At 36.5% G+C, this 21,644-nt stretch overlaps 1 protein-coding gene across 4 annotated transcripts in view, besides 1 other annotated feature; it reads left to right on the top strand.

Moving 5' to 3' along the window:
• TMEM209 (transmembrane protein 209) overlaps positions 1 to 21,537 on the top strand; it is a 40,694-nt gene extending 19,157 nt beyond the window's left edge. For 2 of the 4 annotated variants that reach the window (NM_032842.4, NM_001363478.2), the window contains exons 7-15: positions 883 to 1,058; positions 1,995 to 2,066; positions 4,531 to 4,627; positions 7,723 to 7,848; positions 10,641 to 10,738; positions 12,311 to 12,425; positions 12,521 to 12,618; positions 15,777 to 15,850; positions 19,745 to 21,537. In NM_032842.4, the coding sequence (NP_116231.2) occupies positions 883 to 1,058; positions 1,995 to 2,066; positions 4,531 to 4,627; positions 7,723 to 7,848; positions 10,641 to 10,738; positions 12,311 to 12,425; positions 12,521 to 12,618; positions 15,777 to 15,850; positions 19,745 to 19,799 (911 nt within the window). In that variant the 3' untranslated portion in view covers positions 19,800 to 21,537. Of the gene's footprint in view, positions 1 to 882; positions 1,059 to 1,994; positions 2,067 to 4,530; positions 4,628 to 7,722; positions 7,849 to 10,611; positions 10,739 to 12,310; positions 12,426 to 12,520; positions 12,619 to 15,776; positions 15,851 to 19,744 lie in introns of all 4 variants that reach the window. The other 2 variants (NR_156699.2, NM_001301163.2) reach the window with 2 other exon arrangements.
• Positions 3,097 to 3,216: an enhancer, noted in NCBI's record as "active region_26649". NCBI's record gives its function as "activates an Ori minimal core promoter by ATAC-STARR-seq in GM12878 lymphoblastoid cells {active_cell/tissue: GM12878}" and the evidence as "EXISTENCE:reporter gene assay evidence [ECO:0000049][PMID:35858748]".
• Positions 21,538 to 21,644: the final 107 nt, after the last annotated feature.

Genomic DNA, 21,644 nt, shown 5'->3' with positions numbered 1-21,644 from the left:
CTTTTAGAATTCTGCTAAGATTAAAAAAAATTGTTTCTATTTATAAGTTTTGTTTGAGGGTATAAAGTACCAATTGATATTTTTTATATCAGTTAAACTCCGAAAATATAAGCCCTTCATAAATACCATATAATTGTTGTCAAAAACTTGCTTATTTATTCAGGCGCTATGCTAGATGCTAGGGAAAAAAAATGCTCCCTGCTTTCAAGGAGCTCAAATTCTATTTGGGAAAACAGACAAAAACTATAACCCGGAAGTGTGATTAATATCCTGGTTCAGAGGCCTCTGTAGGAGTACATTCCTAAATAGAACTTTTTTTTACATTTCTTAAAAGTAAATTTATAAATTTAGAAGGATAACCATCAGATAGTCTTTTAGTACAACTCAGGAATTACCACAGGCTGTTAAGTAAAACACAGTGAAGTACAGGGACAAATAAGTTTAGCTTGTTACCAGGAGAGTAATCTTTTAGTAGGAGGCTATAGTTATCCCTTTTAGAAAGAGCTTCTAGAAATTTCAAATAAAGAACTTGCTTGGCCTATTTATTTCCTAAAGAAATTTGTCTTTTGTTTGTTTCTTACTAAATGATTTAAAAGTCTTAGAGAATGAAACGAGCTTAACTTTTCAACAGAACTAGACAGATGCCTTTGACTGCTTATTGTTTTTATGACTGTTAAATTGATATGGCTCAGAAAATACTATTTAAAATTTTTAATCACAAGCAGACTGTGATCTCTAAAGAGAAAATTATGTTGGGGAGAAGAGAATCTCCTTGAGGGTTGGTCTTCTGATTCCTGGATTGCCATTGCCTAGATATAAGTGTTAACTGTAGATGTCAGAATTGCTACAACACACTGATACTGTTTATCTTAACAATTGTAGGGAGCCCAGATTCTACCTCTCCTTCCAGCAGTCCTACTTTCTGGAACTATAGTCGTTCTATGGGGGATTATGCACAAACTTTAAAGAAGTTTCAGTATCAGCTTGCCTGTAGGTCTCAGGCCCCATGTGCTAACAAAGATGAAGCCGATCTCAGCTCTAAACAAGCCGCAGAAGAGGTAAGTGGAAAATAAAAGTGACTTAATATTTATGATTTATGCATTGTTAGAAAGTCTTCTACTTCTGGAACATTTTTTCTGTAATCTTCCATTCTGTTGGACAGAAATGTAAATCTGGCACACATTAGGCAGTGGGAAAGCTCCTGTCTTACTTTGTGTGCCTAAAACTAAAAACTAAATTATATCATACATTTTACTCTGTGACACACAGTTCACCTTAGCGCCCTGCCTGAAACATATTTTTACATTGATTATAAAAAGGCTCTCAGGTATATAATTGTACTTAACACATACAGAAGTCTTGCTTTTAAAATATATTTGGATTAGAATATTTGTCAGTAATTTCGTCACTTTAATACCAAATATGGAATTTTTATTTTGTTCTTAAAAGCAAGAAAAATGGGCTGGGCACAGTGGCTCACGCCTGTAATCCCAGCACTTTGGGAGGCAGAGGCGGGTGGATCACGAGGTCAGGAGATTGAGACCATCTGGCCAACATGGTGAAACCCTGTCTCTACTAAAGTTACAAAAATTAGCCCAGCATGGTGGCGTGTGCCTGTGGTCCCAGCTACTCAGGAGGCTGAGGCGGGAGGATTGCTTGAACCTGGGAGGCAGAGGTTGCAGTGAGCTAAGATTGCGTCACTGTGTTCCAGCCTGGACAACAGAGAGAGACTCCATCTCAAAAAAAAAAAAAAAAGCAAGAAAAATGTTCTTTACACATACCAATGTAAGGAACTTTTAAAGATAAATCTGTGTGTGAACAGCATTTATAAGTGAGTAATAAGAAAATTACTGAATATTAATTAGATGAATATTGATGTTTGGGAAATTTTTTTTCAAAGTTCATTAAATATTTTTTAGGATGGGAGAAAGAATGATGATTTCTATCAAGATTTTTCCTCACTGATTGTTCATTTTAAACATGAATTTTTATAGGTCTGGGCAAGAGTGGCTATGAATAGACAACTTCTTGATCATATGGATTCATGGACAGCTAAATTTAGAAATGTAAGTTCTGACATTACTCTTTGGACAATATTAGTGCCTCTTAATATGCAAAGCATGTTATTAGAATATCATTTAGAGTTCATTATAAATTAGAATATTAGTTATAAAGGTACAGTATGAATGGTACATATATAAGGATAAACATGACTGTTACTATATGGTATTTATTTTCATGAGATTTTTTTCTTCCTCCATATTTAGTGAATTGTTATGTTTTGAGAAGATAAAGGAATAATATGTTTAGTTATTGAGATCCTCCCTTTTCAGTTCTCAGTTTTATTTTCCAAAGAGCTTTTCTATTGGAGCCTTTTATTTACCTAGAATTGTGAGGGGAAACAAAAATGAGGTCCTTGCCCTCAGAAAACTTAAAGAGTTAGAGAGATAAGACAACATATGCTTGAAGCTATTTCAAAGTAGATTATGATTTCTGTTTTTCTAGAGAAGAACCCTCTAATCTTGGGCCAACTTTTCCATATACAGAGTGAGTGAGTTCCCTATTTCCAACTCCACGTCTTCCTCCCACCTTCTCTAGTACCTGTGTGTTCTGGGTTCTGTTAGGCATATGGACTTCCCCTTCCACTATACGGAGCTCCACTTAGCTCTGAAGGGGCTACTACTTCTGTTGTTTCATCCTTCAACATTCATCCATCCACTCTGCATCTTCTAGAACTATTTTGAAATCACTTGTGCTCATTTTTTATCCTTTTACTCTTATTTAAATAGGGCATCAAAATAGAGGGGCAAAAAATGGTAGCCTACTTTATTGAAACAGAAACCTGGATGGCATTTTATGGATAATTCCTGAACCCAATCCTAGACTTACTCAATTAGAATTTATAAGGGTGGGGCCTAGACCTCTCTCTGGGACACGTTAGGTAATTTTGTTACAGCCAAAGAGTACAGCTGTACTCTTTTGTACCATTTGTCACAGCTGGCAAATTAAGATGCATGTAGTAAATGTTGGAAGGATGAATGAGTCAAATCATCTCCTGAAACTGGAGTTTGTTGTAGTTTCTGTTATAGGCTAGTCTAAAAATGCTAACATGTTTAAAATATGAAGTCTTAGTCAGACAGAGTATTAGCTACTTAGAAGAAATACAAATACATTTCCTCATCTGAAGTCCCTAGGTGACCATGTGCTATAAAATTTAGAGTTTTTGGATTTTTTTAAGCAATACATGTATACCTGTACCGTATAATTTATAACACCAGAGTCTAGTTAACACTCAGTAATCAACCACATTAATACTTCTGCAGAAAAACATATGAATAGTCACACTCAGTGGGATAAAGCCTATAAATAGCTTCATGTGAATTCAGTTCAAGTCTTGCCAGTATATCAAAATTTGCTTCCTTACATGGATTACAAGAAATCTTTTAAGTTCCCAGAAGGTTTTTGTTTCAGTTGTTTATAATATTGTATTTCATTGGAAACATTTTTTCATCCTTTTATTTTATGGATAAACAAAAGCATGGAAACAGAAGTGGTAATTGAAGTTGCTACAAACACATACACAAAATAATAACACACAAACCAGATGGGATGTATCCTTAGTCTTTTCACATCCCAGCATTAGTTTTATATTAGCCATGGAAAAGGCATTTGAAAGTCCCAGTCCTAAAGTAATATTGTAATATTCAAAAGCCAGTTTCAAATGTAATAAGTCTCTGTTTTTCCACATGGTTAGGGAATTGGGTGAGCCTGCTGAGAGTTAGGCAGTTATGTTAGTTTGAAAAACTATCTTACTGATTGCAAACCAATATAAACACTACATTAATAAATGTGTGAATAGTTACCCTACAAATGTAAACTGAAGATTATCCTTTTAGCTAAACATAATAATCAGAAAATTTTAAGAAAAATTTAACATATAGCTAAAAGTTTTATATTTTTTTTTCAGGAAAAAAAATAAAAACATGTTATTTAAGAATGTAATTTAGTTGCCAGGCGCAGTGGCTCACGCCTGTAATCTCAGCACTTTGGGAGGCTGAGGCAGGCGGATCACCTGAGGTCAGGAGTTCAAGACCAGCCTGGCCAACATGGTGAAACCCCGTCTCTACTAAAAATACAAAAAATTAACTGGGCGTGGTGGCAGGTGCCTGTAATCCCAGCTACTCAGGAGGCTGAGGCAGGAGAATCCTTTGAACTTGGGAAGTGGAGGTTGCAGTGAGCTGAGATTGCGCCATTGCACTCCAGCCTGGGCAACAAGAGCGAAACTCCATCTCGAAAAAAAAAAAGGAATGTAAGTTAGTTAATTTACACTCCAGTGGCATATTTATTTAACCATCTCTTGATTTCGGGTAGCTATTACTTTCATTCTCTTTCACTATACTTTATGATTCTTTTAATATTCAACTATAAGATAGTAAAAAAAATTCTTAGAGTTGCTTGTAAAAAAGAAAGTAATTATTTGACAGCTACTTGGGAATTATGTATCCAAAATCTGTACCTTATTTCTTCTAGTGGATCAATGAGACAATATTAGTGCCACTTGTTCAAGAGATTGAGTCTGTCAGCACACAGATGAGACGAATGGGTTGTCCAGAGCTACAGATAGGAGGTATGTGAAAACAGAGCCCAGTGTTGGATTTCTATTAGTAAATCTACCAAGTGGAAAACTTCTTGTAATGGACGGCTTAACTTATTTTGTTACCTTGGGGTGAAAAACCCCAAATGTCTATAATCTAGTTTGATTTTTTTTTAACGTGACAGCTTTATCAAGATGTAATTTAGCTACCATATAATTTACCCATTTAAAATGTACAGTCCAAAGTCTTGGGTTATGCAACCATCACCATAGTCAGTTTTAAAGCATTTCATCACCTGAAAAAGAAACTCTCCACCTTTTACCAGTCACCCCCTGTTCTATACATTTCTCCCAGTCCTTTGCAAGTGCCAGTCTATTTTCTGTCTCTATAGATAGGCCTGTTGTGGATATTTCATATGAATGGAATCACAGAATATGAACATGACTTTGTGACTGGCTTCTTTCACTGAGCATAATGCTTTCAAAGTTTGTCCATGTTGTAGAATTTATCATTACATCATTTTCTTTATTGCTGCATAATATTCAAAATAGATCTACTACACTTTGCTTATTCATTCATCAGTTGATTGACATTTAGGTGGTTTTCACTTTTTGGCTCTTATGAATAATGCTGCTGTGAACAGTCACGTACAAGTGTTTATATTGGACCTATGTTTTCATTTCTCCTGGGTATATACCTAGGGGTGGAATTGTTGAGCTGTATGGTAACTCTGACTAACCTTTTGAGGCACTGCCAGACTCTTCTAAAGCACCTAGCTGCACCATTTTACATTCCCACCAGCGTGTATGGGGTTCTGCTTTCTCCACATCCTTGCAACACTTGTCATATGTTTTATAGTCATCCTGCAGTAGGCGTGAAATGATGTCTCATTTTGGTTTTGATTTGCATTTCCATGATGACTACTGATGTTGAACATCTCATGTGTTTATCAGTCATTTGTATATCTTCTTAGAAATGTCTTTTTTGGCCGGGCGCGGTGGCTCACGCCTATAATCCCAGCACTTTGGGAGGCGGAGGTGGGCGGATCACCTGAGGTCAGGAGTTCAATACCAGCCTGGCCAACATGGTGAAAACCCCGTCTGTACTAAAAATACAAAATTAACCGAGCATGGTGGCAGGCGCCTATAATCCCAGCTACTCGGGAGGCTGAGGCAGGAGAATCGCTTGAACCCTGGAGGCGGAGGTTGCAGTGAGCCGAGATCGTCTGGGGGGCAAGAGCGAGACTTCGAGACTTTGAGACTTTGTCTCAAAAAAAAAAGAAATGTCTTTTTGATTCCTTTACCCATTTTTAAATTTGGTTATTTGTCTTTTTGTTGAGTGGTAGATGTTTTCTTTATATATTCTAGATATAAGCCCAAGACTCTTAGCAGATATTAATCACAAAGTTGTATAAAGCATAAAGACTATGTAATAATAGTAATTTTCCATCACCTATTTTCAACTCTCTTATCTGCTAAAGGTAAAATTTTAGGGTGCCATATAAATTGCCTAAAATATATATACTATAACTTAGTTATTAAGTAATTACCTTTACCAATAATGCTACGGTGCATATCCTCTTACCTAAATCTTTGTATACATTTGTAATTATTTCTTTAGGATAATTTCTTAGAAGTAGACTTGTGTGTCAGTAGGTGTGAATATTTTAAGATTTTTGTTATTGTTTTCTAGACAGAGTCTCGCTCTTTTGCCCAAGAGGGAATGCAGTGGTGCTATTATGGCTCACTACAGCCTCAGCCTCCTGGGCTCAAGAGATCCTCTCACCTCAGCCGCATCCAAGTAGCTGGGACTACAGGCACACACCACCACACCTGGCTGATTTTTGTATTTTTGTAGAGATGGGGTGTCCAGGTTGGTCTTGTACTCCTGAGCTCAAGCACTCCCTCCACTTTGGCCTCCCAAAGTGCTAGGATTACAGACATGAGCCAATGCATCTGGATATATTTCAAGGCTTAGAAGATACACATCTCTCCAAAAAGCTTTTACCAGTTTGTACTCTAGCAACCATGACACATATAGGAATGTTTTTCCTAACATTGGATATTGCTAGTACAGTTGGATATTTTGAAATTTTTAATTGCTTTTTACATTTCTATGCATAGTTATCTTGCAGGATATGATAAAAGAAATCACTACCATAAAAAGCTTCTGCTTGTCCTGGCATAATGGGCAACTTCTAATTCAACTTATTTTGAAAACAATTGTGTGTCTTTTTATACATGTCTTATACAAATTTTCTGTATATTAGTTGTTTATAGATTTGCCAAAATCGATTTGGCTGCTTCTCTGGGGAAGGGGAGGAGGGGGTGTTGCATGTGTAAATCTGGCTATCTTGCTGGGAATGGTTCTAGGTAATGTAGATCGTGCAAATTAAAATGCTTTCTTTCATTTATTCCTTCGACATTGAGTGCCTAGTCTGTTCCAGGTGTTAATACTATTCTGGGCACTGGGGGATACAGCAGTGAGCAAAATGGCCAAAGTCCCTGCCTTCATTAAGCTTTCATTCTAGTAAATGAGATAGACAATAAAAAAGATAAAGTACTTTGGGCCAGGCACGATGGCTAACACCTGTGATCTCAACACTTGGGGAGTCCAGCGTTGGTGGATTGCTTGAACCCAGGAGTTTGAGACCAGCCTAGGCAATATAGTGAGACCTTGTCTCTACTAAATAGAAAAAAAGAAAAAAAGTGAACCAGGTGTGGTGGCATGTGCCTGTAGTCCCAGCTGCTTAGGAGGCTGAGGTGGGAGGAGGATTGCTTGAGCCCATTCGATTGAGGCTGCAGTGAGTGGTGATTGTGCCGCTATACTCCAGCGTGGGTGACAGAGCAAGACACTGTCTCAAAAAACAAAAAGAGAAGAAGAAAAAAAGTACATTGGACAGTGGTTAGTGCTAAGGAGGAAAAAAGCACAGGAGGGTAATGTTATTAATGTTTAGAGAGGAGGGGTGAAATTTGAGGTAGGGTCGTCAGGGGAGACGTCATTGACTTGTATGAAGACCTGAAGGTAGTGAGGAACCAGCTGTATGAACACATGAGAAGAGCATTTTAAGTTCTTTTGGAAACTCACTTTTAGAATAATCAGTGTTCTCTGTGTTTTATGTTAACAGAGGCTAGTATTACTAGCTTGAAACAAGCTGCCCTGGTTAAAGCGCCTCTCATTCCGACTTTGAACACAATCGTTCAGTATCTAGACCTTACTCCAAATCAGGAATACTTGTTTGAAAGGATCAAAGGTAATTATTGATTTGAAGAGAAAAAAATAAGAGCTTTTTTACTATGCTGGAATTTTATCAGTGAAGATTAACAAGGAAAAACTTTTAATTAAAAGTATAACATGTCTTATAAATACGTATTAATTATAGCTTAATAACTTTATTTTGTGTAGGAAACTTAAATATGAGCTAAATGGGCTCCAGTGACTATTTCACTCATTTCCTACTTTTAGACTCATAAGAATGGGTGCCATTATGACATTCTTTATAGTTCCGGTGTGCTGAGCCTTATTTCTCTTAATTTTTATAATTCCTATTTAATAAGTTTCTTCCTTATATTTCTGTGATATTCTTATTATTTGGTGGAAGATGTGCTCTCCTGAGGAGACTGACTTGAGAATCAGGAAATGTAGGCTCCCTGACACCCCCATACACCCTCTGTGCCTCTCTACTTACAGAGCAATTCATAACGTTAGAATTTTTTAAAATTTGGATAAACTTTTTAAAAGATTCTCATCACTAAGACAAGTTTTAGAAATAGTATTCAAATTGATCATAAATCTTAATTTGAAAATATTATAGTGTTCTCCCTTTCCCCTAAGGTTAGAGCAGGATTCAGGAATAAACATTTTTCATGACTTTTTAAAACATTTTATATAAGGAGAATTTTAAACATACACAAAACTAGAAAAAATAGTATACACACTCCTCTTGTACACATCACCCAGCCTCAACAATCACTAGTCCCTGGCCAGACCCTGCCCTATCCATACCCCGTCCACTTTCTTCCTGTATTGTTTGAAGCAAGCCCTCATGTCATTATCAGTTCATCTGTAAATATTTCTTTGTATATCACTAAAAGATAAGCCTCCCGCGACCCCCTGCTTTTGAGAAAGGGTCTTGCTATGTTGCCTAGGCTGGTCTCCAACTCCTAGGCTCAAGCAGTCCTCCCACCTCAGCCTCCCCAAGTGCCGTGATTATAGACATGAGCCACCGTGCCCAGCTGAGCCTTTAGAAAACTAATACAAACATACATAACCAGAATACAATTATCATTCTTTTTTTTTTTTTTTTGGAGACAGTCTCTCTCTGTCGCCAGGCTAGAGTGCAGTGGCGCAATCTTGGCTCACTGCAACCTCCACCTCCCGGGTTCAAGCGATTCTTCTGCCTCAGCCTCCTGAGTAGCTGGGATTACAGGCACACACCACCATGCCCAGCTAATTTTTGTGTTTTTAGTAGAGATGGGGTTTCACCATGTTGGTCAGGCTGGTCTCAAATTCCTGACCTCGTGATCCACCCACCTTGGCCTCCTAAAGTGCTGGGATTACAGGCGTGGGTCACTGCACCTGGCCACAATTATCATTCTTAATATAATTTTTTTTTTTTTTTTTTTTGAGACCCGGCTCGCTCTGTCACCCAGGCTGGAGTGCAGTAATGGCACTAGTGCAGGAGTGTATAGCTCCTTGCAGTCTTGAACTCCTGGCTATGGCAATCCTCCCTCCTCAGCCTCCCAAAGTGCTGGGATTATAGGAGTGAGCCACCATGCTACCTGGCCCTAATATTTCCTGTGTTATGAGATATTAAGTCTGTGTTCAAATTTCCAGCTATCTCATAAAAATGCATAATTTTTTGGCAATGTTTGTTTGAATTGGGATTCAAATATTGTAATACATTGCAATTGGTTATTTCAGTTTATTTTAAGCTATATGCTTCCCATTCACCTTTTTTTTTCCTTTGCAATTTATTTGTCAGAAGAACTGGATTGTTTGTCTTTAGTGGTTCCCATAGTGTGGGTTTTGCTGAATGCATCCCTATGGTGTAGTTTTACATAACCCCTTCTCTTTCCCATAAATTCATGTTTGAGTTTTTTGGCAAGATTGCCTTGTAGTTAGCAGGGTATTTGTACATCCAAAAAGAGAAAGTGTCTGTGTATGTACACATATATACAAAGTATATAAAGGTTTTATATCAAATATACAAAAAAGCTTTAAAGAATACAGTGGGCTGGGCACGGTGGCTCACGCCTGTAATCCCAGCACTTTGGGAGGCCCAGGCAGATGGATCACAAGGTCAGGAGATCGAGACCATCCTGGCTAACACGGTGAAACCCCATCTCTGCTAAAAATACAAAAAAAAAAAAAAATTAGCTGGGCGTGGTGGCAGGCACCTGTAGTCCCAGCTACTCAGGAGGCTGAGGCAGGAGAATGGTGGGAACCCGGGAGGCGGAGCTTGCAGTGAGCCGAGATCACACTACTGCGCTCCAGCCTGGGTGACAGAGCGAGACTCTGTCTCAAAAAAAAAAAAAAAGAATACAGTGAACACTGTCTTGTTCTAGATTGGATAGTTAGAAACCTTTTGACATATTTGATTCTTTCTTTCCACATATATATACACACACACTTTTTTTTCTTGTTGTGCCATTTGAAAGTACATTGCAGACATTACTTTTTAGCATGCATTCTCCTAAAAGTAAGAACATTCTCCTAACCATAATACAATTATACCTTTAAAAAATAATAGTTTTCTGATATTTAATATATTGTCCATATTCAAATTTTCCCTACCCATCAACTCTTTTTTTAAGAAGCCAAAATAGTAGTCAGATAAATCTAAAATCCCACATTTTGGATTTATCTGATGTCTTCAGGGACATGTTTAACTTTTGTCTTTTTATATCTTTTATTTCTTTAGGTTTGGGTGTTTTGATCAAGTTTTTTAAATGATTTGCTTCCCTTATTATATTCCCTTAGCTTTTTTTTTCTTTTCTTTTTTGCATACTCTTAGCTTTTAAAAATTTCACCTTGTTGCCACAGAACTATCTCAGGGAGGTTGTATGAGCTCATTTCGATGGAACAGAGGTGGCGACTTCAAAGGACGAAAGTGGGATACAGACCTGCCCACCGATTCTGCTGTAAGCCCCTAGATTCTTTCATTCATTTATTTATTTACTGTTGATTGACTGACACAGGGTCTTACTCTGTCACCCAGGCTGTAGTGCAGTGGCACAGTCACGTCTCACTGCAGCTTTGATCTCCCAGGGCTCAAGTGCTCCTCCCAGCTCAGCCTCCCAAGTAGCTGGGACTAGGCCTGAACCACCACACCCAGCTAATTTTTTTAATTTTTTGTAGAGATGGGGTCTCACTTTTTTGCCCAGGCTGGTCTTGAAGTCCTGGGTTCAAGTGATCCCCCTGCCTCAGCTTCCCAAAGTGCTGGGTTTACAGACACGAGCTACTGTGCCTGACCCTTAGATTTATTTTGTTTTTTTCAGTTTCCATTACTGGATTTATGTGTTTTTGTTTGCCTATCATAAGAATAAGTGTTAAAAATAATTTAGAAAATAAGGTATTTATAATAGTATCAGCATGTTCACCCAACCACTGTTAATATTTTTGTGTATTTTTTCCCTTTACTTGGTGGCTACTATTTTTTAATGTTTTTATCATATTTGTAATTCTCCGGTATGTAAAATTATGTATTCTGCTTTTTTTCCACTTCTGTAATATTTAGGGTTTTTTTTTACTTCAGCCTCCTCCTACCTAGATATTTTTTCATTATTACACACTGTCATTTAACTATTCTCCTATAGTGGACCTAAAAGTTTGAGACACTTGTGGTGGAGAAGGAATTTTTACTTGTTTTTTGATCTTGAGTAATGCAGCATGCAAATAGTGTGATGCGCATTGCTTTCTTTCTTGGGATTGTCACTTTAAGAGAGACTCCTAGAATTACATTTAGGAGATCAAAGAACATAAATGTTTTTGTGTGCTTACAAGTTTTTCAAAATTATGTTCGCTTTTTTTTTATAGTGACTGTTACGGGTGAAAATTAAGTTTTATGTTGAGATTCAGATTGAGAATTGAATGTATTTTATCTTGGTTTTGCTATTAACTGTGTTGGTATGAATGATCCACTTAGCAAAAAACTAAGAATGCCCTGCTTTTCTAGGGTTGCTATGGAAAACTAAAAATGAAGATCAAATATGTAGGGAATGGGAGTCTGGTGTTTAAGCCCCACCCTCCACCCCTACCCTCAACAGATTATGGTAACTTCGTAGGCTGGAGTATTCAAACTTTTTCAATTTGAAAAGGAAACCTTCTCATCAAAATATAGACTGATTTGATGGCAAATATCTTTTTCTATTTTAAATTTTGAGTAGATTATTTGAATTAAGCCTAGCTTCATGTCTTAAACACACTGAATTCCTTTATGATTTAAGAGAGGAATTAGTGAATTCCTTATCTTTGTAGGAAATAATACTTTCAGTTAAAAGAATAGGTGTGCTACCTGAACTATGTGTTTTTATCTTTTTATTCTATAGATTTTATCTTGTAAATCTAACCATTTGACAGCATTTTTCTAATTCACTCTTCAGAGAAAAAATTTTTTAATTGGAATCGTTATAAATACAGATGTTTCTAAAGGGTTCTACATCCATGCTAGATTTTCATGCTGACTTAAAAAAAAATTATTTCTTCATCCTCAGATCATCATGCATGTATTTTGCACCTACCTTGATTCCAGATTACCTCCACATCCGAAGTATCCCGACGGAAAAACTTTTACTTCTCAGCACTTTGTTCAGACACCAAATAAACCAGGTATAAACCTCTCCTAAAAGAATGTGTTGAGATTTTCACACAAAATATCTCTGGGGGTTTGGTTTTTTAATGCAGCATATTGCCTTCCTTTACAGATGTTACAAATGAGAATGTTTTTTGCATTTATCAGAGTGCTATCAACCCTCCCCATTATGAGCTCATCTACCAGCGTCATGTATACAACCTGCCAAAGGTATTTCTATATAGAGAAGATGCTGTTACAGAATGTCTTGGGTGATTTGCTTGGATGATGTTTTTAAAATTATAATCTCATGTTAATAGAAGAAGTAAATTTTTTAAATTGGAAATGTGTTTCCTACATATATATTTCTTACTATAAAAGTAATATGTGCTTAATTTGGGGAAAGTATAAAGAAAAAGAAGGAAAATCACTCATTCCATTACCTGAGGCAGTCATTGTTGATTTTTTGATTGGTATATTGCCTTTTGGTAAATTTCATTTTGGTCTTATGTCTCTTTTTAGAGGCAGAGTCTAGCTCTGTCACCCAGGCTGGAGTGTAGTGGCATGATCATAGCTCATTGTAGCCTTGAACTCATGGGCTCAAGAAGTCCTTCCACCTCAGCCTCCCAAGTAGCTAGGACTACAAGCACGTACTAGTATACCTGGCCAATTTATTTTTTGTAGAGACAGAGTCTCTCCATGTTACTCAGGCTGGTCCTGTGCACCTGGCCCTTTCTTTATATTTTTTATGGGCTAAAATTATTTATGTAGTTTTATATCTGCTTTTAAATATTAGCTTTATAACATAATTTTCCATACTATTAAAAATCTTCATAAAAATTCCTTTTTTTTTTTTTTTTTTTTGAGATAGAGTCTCACTCTGTTACCCAGGCTGGAGTGCAGTGGTGCAATCTTGGCTCACTGCAACCTCTGCCTCCCGGGTTCCAGCAATTCTCCTGCCTCAGCCTCCCAAGTAGCTGGGATTACAGGCACCCGCCACCACACCCGGCTATTTTTTTGTATTTTAGTAGAGATGGGGTTTCACCATGTTGGCCAGGCTGGTCTCAAACTCCTGAGCTCAGGCAGTCTGCCCACCTCGGCCTCCCAAAGTGCTGGGATTACAGGCATAAGCCACCATGCCCGGCCTAAAAATACTTCTTAATGGCTATAAAAAAAACTTCACTAGTATAATTTATTCAACCATTTCTCTACTGTTGTACATTTTCTGTATTTCTTATTTTTTATTATAAATACTACTGAAAAGGTAGAGGCAGGCAGATCACGAAGTCAGGAGATCGAGACCATCCTGGCTAACACAGTGAAACCCTGTCTCTACTAAAAATACAAAAAAAATTATCCGGGCATGGCAGCATGCACCTGTAGTCCCAGCTGCTGAGGAGGCTGAGGCAGGAGAATGGCGTGAACCCAGGAGGCGGAGCTTGCAGTGAGCCGAGATCACGCCACTGCACTCCAGCCTGGGTGGCAGAGCAAGACTCCGTCTCAAAAAAATAAATAAAATAAAATAAATAAATACTGCTGAAAATGTATCTTCATGCATACAGCTATCTGCATTTCTTTAGTCCAGAGTTCTAAAAGTGGAATTCTAGGTCAAAATATTTTTAAGACTTTAAAAATAACATGTTACCAAATTACTTTATAATAAAGGTTATTGTATCAATTTATACTTCCATTAATGTGCTTTACTTTTTTTTTGAGGTAGTCTTGCTGTGTTGCTTAGGCTAGTATCACATTCCTGGGTTCAAGCAATCCTGACTCAGCCTCTTGAGTAGCTAAGATTACAAGCACATACAGATTTTTTACTCTTTTTTTGAGACAGAGTCTTGCTCTGTCACCCAGGCTGGAGTGCAGTGGTGTGATCTCGGCTCACTGCAACCTCCGCCTCCCAGGTTCAAGCGATTCTCCTGCCTCAGCCTCCTGAGTAGCTGGGACTACAGGCGCGTGCCACCACGCTTGGCTAATTTTTTTTGTATTTTTAGTAAGAGACGGGGGTTTTACTGTGTTAGCCAGGATGGTCTTGATCTCCTGACCTCGTGATCCGCCTGCCTTGCCCACCCAAAGTGCTGGGATGATAACAGGCATGAGCTGCCACACTGGTTTTTTACTCTTAATTACAAGCATCAGTTCTGTTGATAACCTTTACAATTATTTTTGTTACCAGCATCTTTACTAAGAAATTTTACATTGGCTATAATAATAAATTGTGCTGTCTATCAGATTCTCAGGAAGAGATGTTAATTTCATTTCTTCAAGTTTAATATTTTAGCTTTGTATGTAAATACTTTGGGCCATTGAAGTTCTTGTGAATATCCATGCCAATCTTTGTTTTTTAACCACCATCTGTTTTTTTTTCCTTGTTCTTACAGTGTAAACATTATCTTTTAAAAATCATACATTCTCTCAGATTCTTGAGTTAAAAACACATTAAATTAGAGTAAGTGGGGAAAAGTTAATCTGTAAATTGAAAATCTAAATTAGGAGCTGTTTTTACAGACCAAAAATTACATATAATAGTTTGATTTTAGAGCTAGCAATATGCTGCCTAGTATTCCCTTGCAGATAAAATAAATTTATATTTAATATGTTATTTGTATGCTAAAGTATATTCTGATATATTTTAAAGTATGACTAAAAGCTTTTTTTATCCCAACACTTGTTTATGCCATTATAGACCATTTTTATATGTGTAGTGTACAGGGGCACCAACCTCAGAATAGCTCTCCAGGCTCTTCCAGACCTTAGTAAGTGTTTCTCCCCATGTGTGAAACACAGTCCCCCAGCTCCCCACCCCCCAGTATGTTACCTTTCTGCTCATCTTTCAGGTTGCAGCTTAAAATACAAAAAAAAAATTAGCCGGGCATGGCGGTGGGCGCCTGTGGTCCCAGCTACTTGGGAGGCTGAGGCAGGAGAATGACGTGAACCCAGGAGATGGAGGTTGCGGTGAGCTGAGATCACACCACTGCACTCCAGCCTGGACGACACAGCGAGACTCCATCTCAAAAAAAAAAAAAAAATCTTTCCCTCAGGGAGGCATTCTGTCGCTAACCAGTCTAAATCAGACACTGCATCTTCATATGTTCCTATGGCACCTCCTCTCATAGCATTCCTCACACTTTGTTGTGATTCTTAGTTTACTGTCTGCCTTTCCTACTGGCCCTTATGTCCTTGACATGTATCCTTTCTGTCTTACTCACTGCAGTATTCCCACTTCCTAGCACAAAGCGTAGGTACTTTGTTTAATAAATAAATGAAAGTCTGAATTATATGGAATTCTGAGTTAGTAGGATATGAATTGATAAGATATGTATTTACCTACCAGATTGAATCTTTTTCATTTGGTTTAAATCTTGTCTTTTTTGTCTTTGTTCCAGGGCAGAAATAATATGTTTCATACATTGTTGATGTTTCTCTACATCATAAAGACCAAAGAGTCAGGAATGCTTGGGTAGGTACTTATGCTTTAAAAACGTAAGTAGTTATTTACTGATTTTCTTCCTATGTTAAGATTCTGCAGAAGGCAGCAGCATGTAACTGAAGGTTTATGGATTGAACAATAGATAATGGCTTCAGCCCTGTCACAGACTACCTCTGCTATTTTGGGCAATCCATTAGCTAACTCCTCGGAACCCATTGGTAAAAGGCAAGTGGACTACATCGTTAGCATTATAGTTGTGTTCCCTGGAGGAATAATTCAGAGATAGATAAAAATTAGACTCTTGCCGTTTAAAAACATTTTTTTTTTAAAATCTGGAGACTGTTTTTTTCCAAGCCATTTCATTTCAGACACAAAGCATTCTGCGAAGTGTTTACACTTCCAGAGAGACAGAGTCGGTACCTGTTCCATAATATCATTAACTGGAATGGAAAAGTAGTCAGTTGAAATCGTTTACATACTTGGTAACAAAGCTCACATACTGCAAGAAATTCAAAATTGTAGTATTGTCATTTTGATGATTAGAAATTTTAGTGTATCAAATGACACATGAAATAAGTAGACCCCAGCTAAAGCTAGGGATATTTGTAGTGCCTGATCTGGGAGTCGGAAAACCTGGGTTCTGGGTCCAGCTCTGCCATACTAAGTAACCTAAGGCTAGCAAAAAAAAAAGGGGGGATGGGCTTGGAGCAGAAGGGATTGTGGTCATTTCCACTTCCGATATGCATGCGTCTTTAAGTTTTAGATAGCATCCTGTTTGTAATTTAGAGTTTATACGTGTCCTAGAACTGTGCCATCCAGCACAGTAGCCACCAGCCCCATGTGGCACTGAACACTTGAAGCAGGACTAGACCAAATTGAGGTGCGCTAAAGTGTAAAACGTGTAACAGATTTCAAAGACACAGCCCCCAAAAAGTAAGATAACTCCTTAAAAATTGTATATATTTGTTACATATTGAAATGCTAGTTTGGATAGATTTAGTTAAGTGAAATATGTTCTTAAAATTAATTTCACCTGTTTATTAGGTATCTACTAGAAAATTTAAAATTATGTGGCTTGCATTTGCAGTTCATATCATATTGTATTTTTATTGGACAGCACTGCTCTAGAGAAAGCAAAGCTCCTTAAATATATCGGATGTAAAGATTAAAACAGACATGAACAAAAATGTGTAAACAAATATGAACATTTATTAGCTTTTTTTTTTTTTTTTTTTGAGATGGAGTCTCGCTCTGTCACCTAGGCCGGAGTACAGTGGCACCATCTCAGCTCACTGCAACCTCTGCCTCCCAAGTAGCTGGAACTACAGATGCCCGCCACCATGCCGGGTATTTTTGGTAGAGACGGGGTTTCTCCATGTTGGCCAGGCTGGTCTCAAACTCCTGATCTCAGGTGATCCGCCTGCCCGGCCTCCCAAAGTGCTGTAATTACAGGTGTGAGCCACCACACCCAGCTATTAGCTTCTTTTATCATATATTTTTTAATGTAAGAAAGATTAGGAAACTAACTTTATTGAGGCATCTAAACTAACAGGGTTTTTTATTTTTAAATTATGAAAATAATGCATACTCAGTAGATAAGTATTTAAATAACACAGCAGTGTATAAACTAGAACTAATTTCTAATTATGTGTAGAGACAGTATCTCACTATATTGCCCAGGCTGTGATCTACCTGCCTTGGCCTTCTAACGTGCTGGGATTACAGGCATAAGCCACTCCACCTGGCTTTATTTTTGTTTCTTTTGCTTAAAAATGTATTGTATCCAAACATAGTACTTTATGATCTAATTTTTAGGCTTATGGCATATCTTGGACATTCTCCCATGTCAAATTTTCCCTAAAATGTCTAGGAATGTTTGGTTATAAATATACTTACACATATATATTAGATGGAATATGGAATTTGATATAAATTCCATATTGTTATTATTCCATGTTGTTAATACAGGTCAAGTATTCTTTATCTGAAATGCTTGGAACCAGGAGTGTTTCGGATTTGATTTTCTCCGATTTTGGAATATTTGCAATAATTACTGAGCATCCCTAATCTAAAAATCCCCCAAATGCTACAGTGAGCATTTCCTTTGAGCATCATGATGTCACTCAAAAAGTTTTGGGTTTTGGAGCATTTCGGATTTTCAGATTATAGGTGCTTAACCTGTATAATATAAATAAGCAATTAATTTTTGGTTCTAATTGAAAATGTATCTTTTCCTCTGTGGATCCAAATTGATATTTTGATGCATAAATGGTTTGTCATGATAGCATGAGGTTTGAGTGCCATATACGGTCTGTCATATGCTTTAAAATGAAAAAGTGCTTAGTGGAGCAGCACTTTTTCATTTACTGAAATGTAATGAAATTTACTGAAAGGCCAAAAGAAATTGATACAATTTTTAAAGCGCTATATTCTCTTAATGAGCAACTTATATATGGGAAATTAAGCATTTTAGACTAAAACTAGTGTTTTTAAACTCGGGGAAAAGCTTGGAAATTATTAACCTTTCGAACATGAATATTTTTTCAAATACATCCTAAAACAAATAGTTAAAAACTTTCCTATAACTTAAAAGAAATAAGTGAGTGGCTCAAATATAGTCCATTTGGATTTATGACCATAAACCCACAGATTGATCCAAATACATTATCAATTTAATGTCAGGTATTTGTGCAGTAACAGGAATCAGATGAATGTTCTACTTGCAAAAGGAAAAAAAATCTAGACAGACTTGACTGCACAGTGACTTACATGTTCTGTTTGGGAAAAGACACTGTAAAGTTTAAAGTTAATGACAAACTGAAAGCATTATTCTGCTATAATATGAGCAGTAGTAATTGGGTTTGCAAATATAGCAAATCCAAGCTTATATTTGTTATATATAAAGAACATATATGATTTTATTAGAAAAATGGACAAAGGTATGAAAGATTTCTTCATAAAGTGTGCAAACAGCTCCTAAACACAAAAAGATGCTTAGACTCATGTACAAACAAGTCAAAATTAACTTTTTTTTCTGTCAAATTTGATATTATTTGTAGTGTCAGTGAGGGTATGAAGAAATGGAAAATACAGTTGATAAAAATTACCTGTTTCGAAAGGCATTTTTGGCAGCTTTTTATCAAAGTTAATACATTCTTATAATTTTAAAAGTCATAGAGGGCTAAAAGTTCATGACAGAAATGAGCAATTCCCTGTATTCCCCAAGTCTGCTTCTCGAAGTGGACTGTATTCCCCAAGTGGCTTTTTCTTCAGTTATTACTCTCATAGTTCCAAATAATAGAGGTATACAGCTCTCTTGATTCTTCAGTTTCAGATATTATCTGTTGATTTTTTTATTTTGTTAGGTGAGTAATTTCTTTCTCTTATAGCCCTCTTATTCCCTCAGACTTTGAATACAGTCATACTACTCTCTGGAAGAGAAGTATATGTATTTTGTTGTTGTTGTTATATGTAGTAGGATTTAATGTATTACTAATACACATATGAAAACTCACTAAAGTATCCCCAGTAGTTAGTAAATTCCTAATTCAAATCAAGTAATACAGTTCTCTGAGAGGCTAGCATCTCCATATCTTCCATCTTTTAAATACAATTGATACTTTTACTTTAATCTTGCTTGTTAAAATTATTCTGTTAGCTATTACCTGGTGTAATAGTTCTTGTTTACTGAAAAACTGTCAACACTCCATAAATCTATTTATTCTAAATTTGGGTTTTAGGCATAGTTAAGAAAGTAATTACTGTTACTGGAATTCACCTGATAAACCATGTATAACATAATTCATTGCAGAATCACATTAAATATCAGTTAAACATGTATTATTCATAAAGTTTTTTGTTATTAGAAAAAGACCTTAAATGCTTGGCAACCAATTCTAATAAAAATTTTTTTTCTCTTTATAGGAGAGTTAATCTTGGTCTATCTGGTGTGAATATATTGTGGATCTTTGGCGAGTAGCAAGTCATATATTTAATTCTGACATTTAGACTATTTCACTGAACCAGAAGTCGAAACTAAACATCTCTGAGCCACTGACTCTTCTGAAATAAAATACACATGGGTGTATGTTACAGACTCTTTAGATTTAACAGAAAATGTAGCTGTTATGAAATGTAATTGTAAAAATATGTCCCGTATCTTCTATATCGAGACATTGCCTTTAATTTTATATCGCTTTTCAGAAATTTCAGTTGACTACAAAACTGCAACCCTTCGGATTTTTATTGACTCAAAATAGTGCCATTCCCCTTAATGAAATAGATTTTGAGTCTTTTTTTCATTGTAACCCCCAAATGAGAATCATCTACCTGATTCTTGTACCAAAAAAAAATTTTTTTCAGTCTTTTTTTTTTTTAGAGAGGGTCTCTGTCAACGCAGACTGGAGTGCAGTGGCACGATCTTAGCTCACTACAACTTCTGCCTCCCAGGCTCAAGCAATTCTCCTGCCTCAGCCTCCTGAGTAGCTGGGATTACAGGCATGCACCACCACGCCCAGCTAATTTTTGTATTTTTAGTAGAGACAGGGTTTCACCATGTTGGCCAGGCTGGTCCCGAACTCCTGACCTCAGGTGATCCACCCACCTCGGCCTCCCAAAGTGCTGGGATTATAGGTGCGAGCCACTGCGCCCAGCCTCAGTTATTTTATTTAACAGTGTAAGTACTTAGAAAGTAAGAAAATTGCTGATTTAGTTTTTTTTTTTTTTTTTTTAATGTTTCCCCAGCATTCTGCAAGTTAGGCCAAAGCCCACATTCAAAGAAATGAGATTAACTCTTAAGTAATGTATTAAGTTTATGTATATTTTAAAATATTATTAAAGGAGGTTTGAAAGTATTGACATTTAAAAAGTCAACACTTAGATTAAATTTAGCTGGTAGTTTTAATTTGGGTTTTAGTTAAGAGTGTGAGGACATCAGGAAAACTGTTTACTACTTTGGTTTTAGCAGCTCAGTTTTACTATTCCATAATGTGTTATTTTTAAAGTTCTCTTTTTAAGATCACAGTGATATCCTATCTTCAAATTTTTTAAATATGTTCAAAATATCTGGAGGGTGAGAAGTTACCAAGTTTGTATGTTTTGTTTGACTCACCATCTTTATTTTCTGTATATGTAGTAGCTGGCAATTGCATATATTTTCTTGATTAACATATTAGAGACTGCTTCCATCATCTTATGTAAACCTGGAAACAGCTGAAACTAGTCTTTTCTGAAGAACCGTGTATCAGTGTTAGATGTGCATCCCGTTTTGTCATTCCCTCAGACTTTGAATACAGTCATTACTCTCTGGAAGAGAAATGTAAGTATATTTTTTGTTATCTGCAGTATGGTTTAACATGTATTAATAATACACATATGCAGACTCACTAAAGTATCCCCAGTAATTAGTAAATTCCAAATTTAAGTCAGTACAGTTCTGTATTTGTAAATTCTGTCTTTCAAAAAGTTGTTCGTGTTTTTAAAAGTTGATGTCCAAAGGAAAGGAGCTTCTTTTAAGTACTTTTGGTGTATGTTGAATATTTATTTGCTATGATATTCTAGAAGAAAATATCAAACATGTTAAATATAAGAACATGTTAAAATTTAAATTTGCTATTTCAAAAGTTACTGAAGATGTCTTGGAATAACAATTGTCATGCTGTTAAACTAGTTGCATATACTTCATTAAAAGCACCATGGAGAAACATTTTAACAATGCATAAGATGAAATGTCTTTTTTTCTTTATAGGACTTAGATAGCTTTTAGTCTAAAAATTCAAAGCTTTAATATTATATTTTTAAAGTGACTATCAAAAAAATACAGTCT

The sequence above is a fragment of the Homo sapiens genome, chromosome 7 (genome assembly GCF_000001405.40).
Source record: "Homo sapiens chromosome 7, GRCh38.p14 Primary Assembly".
Taxonomy (NCBI): domain Eukaryota; kingdom Metazoa; phylum Chordata; class Mammalia; order Primates; family Hominidae; genus Homo; species Homo sapiens.
Note: the sequence above shows the minus strand (reverse complement) of the source record. Positions and strands in the feature narration are given on the sequence as shown.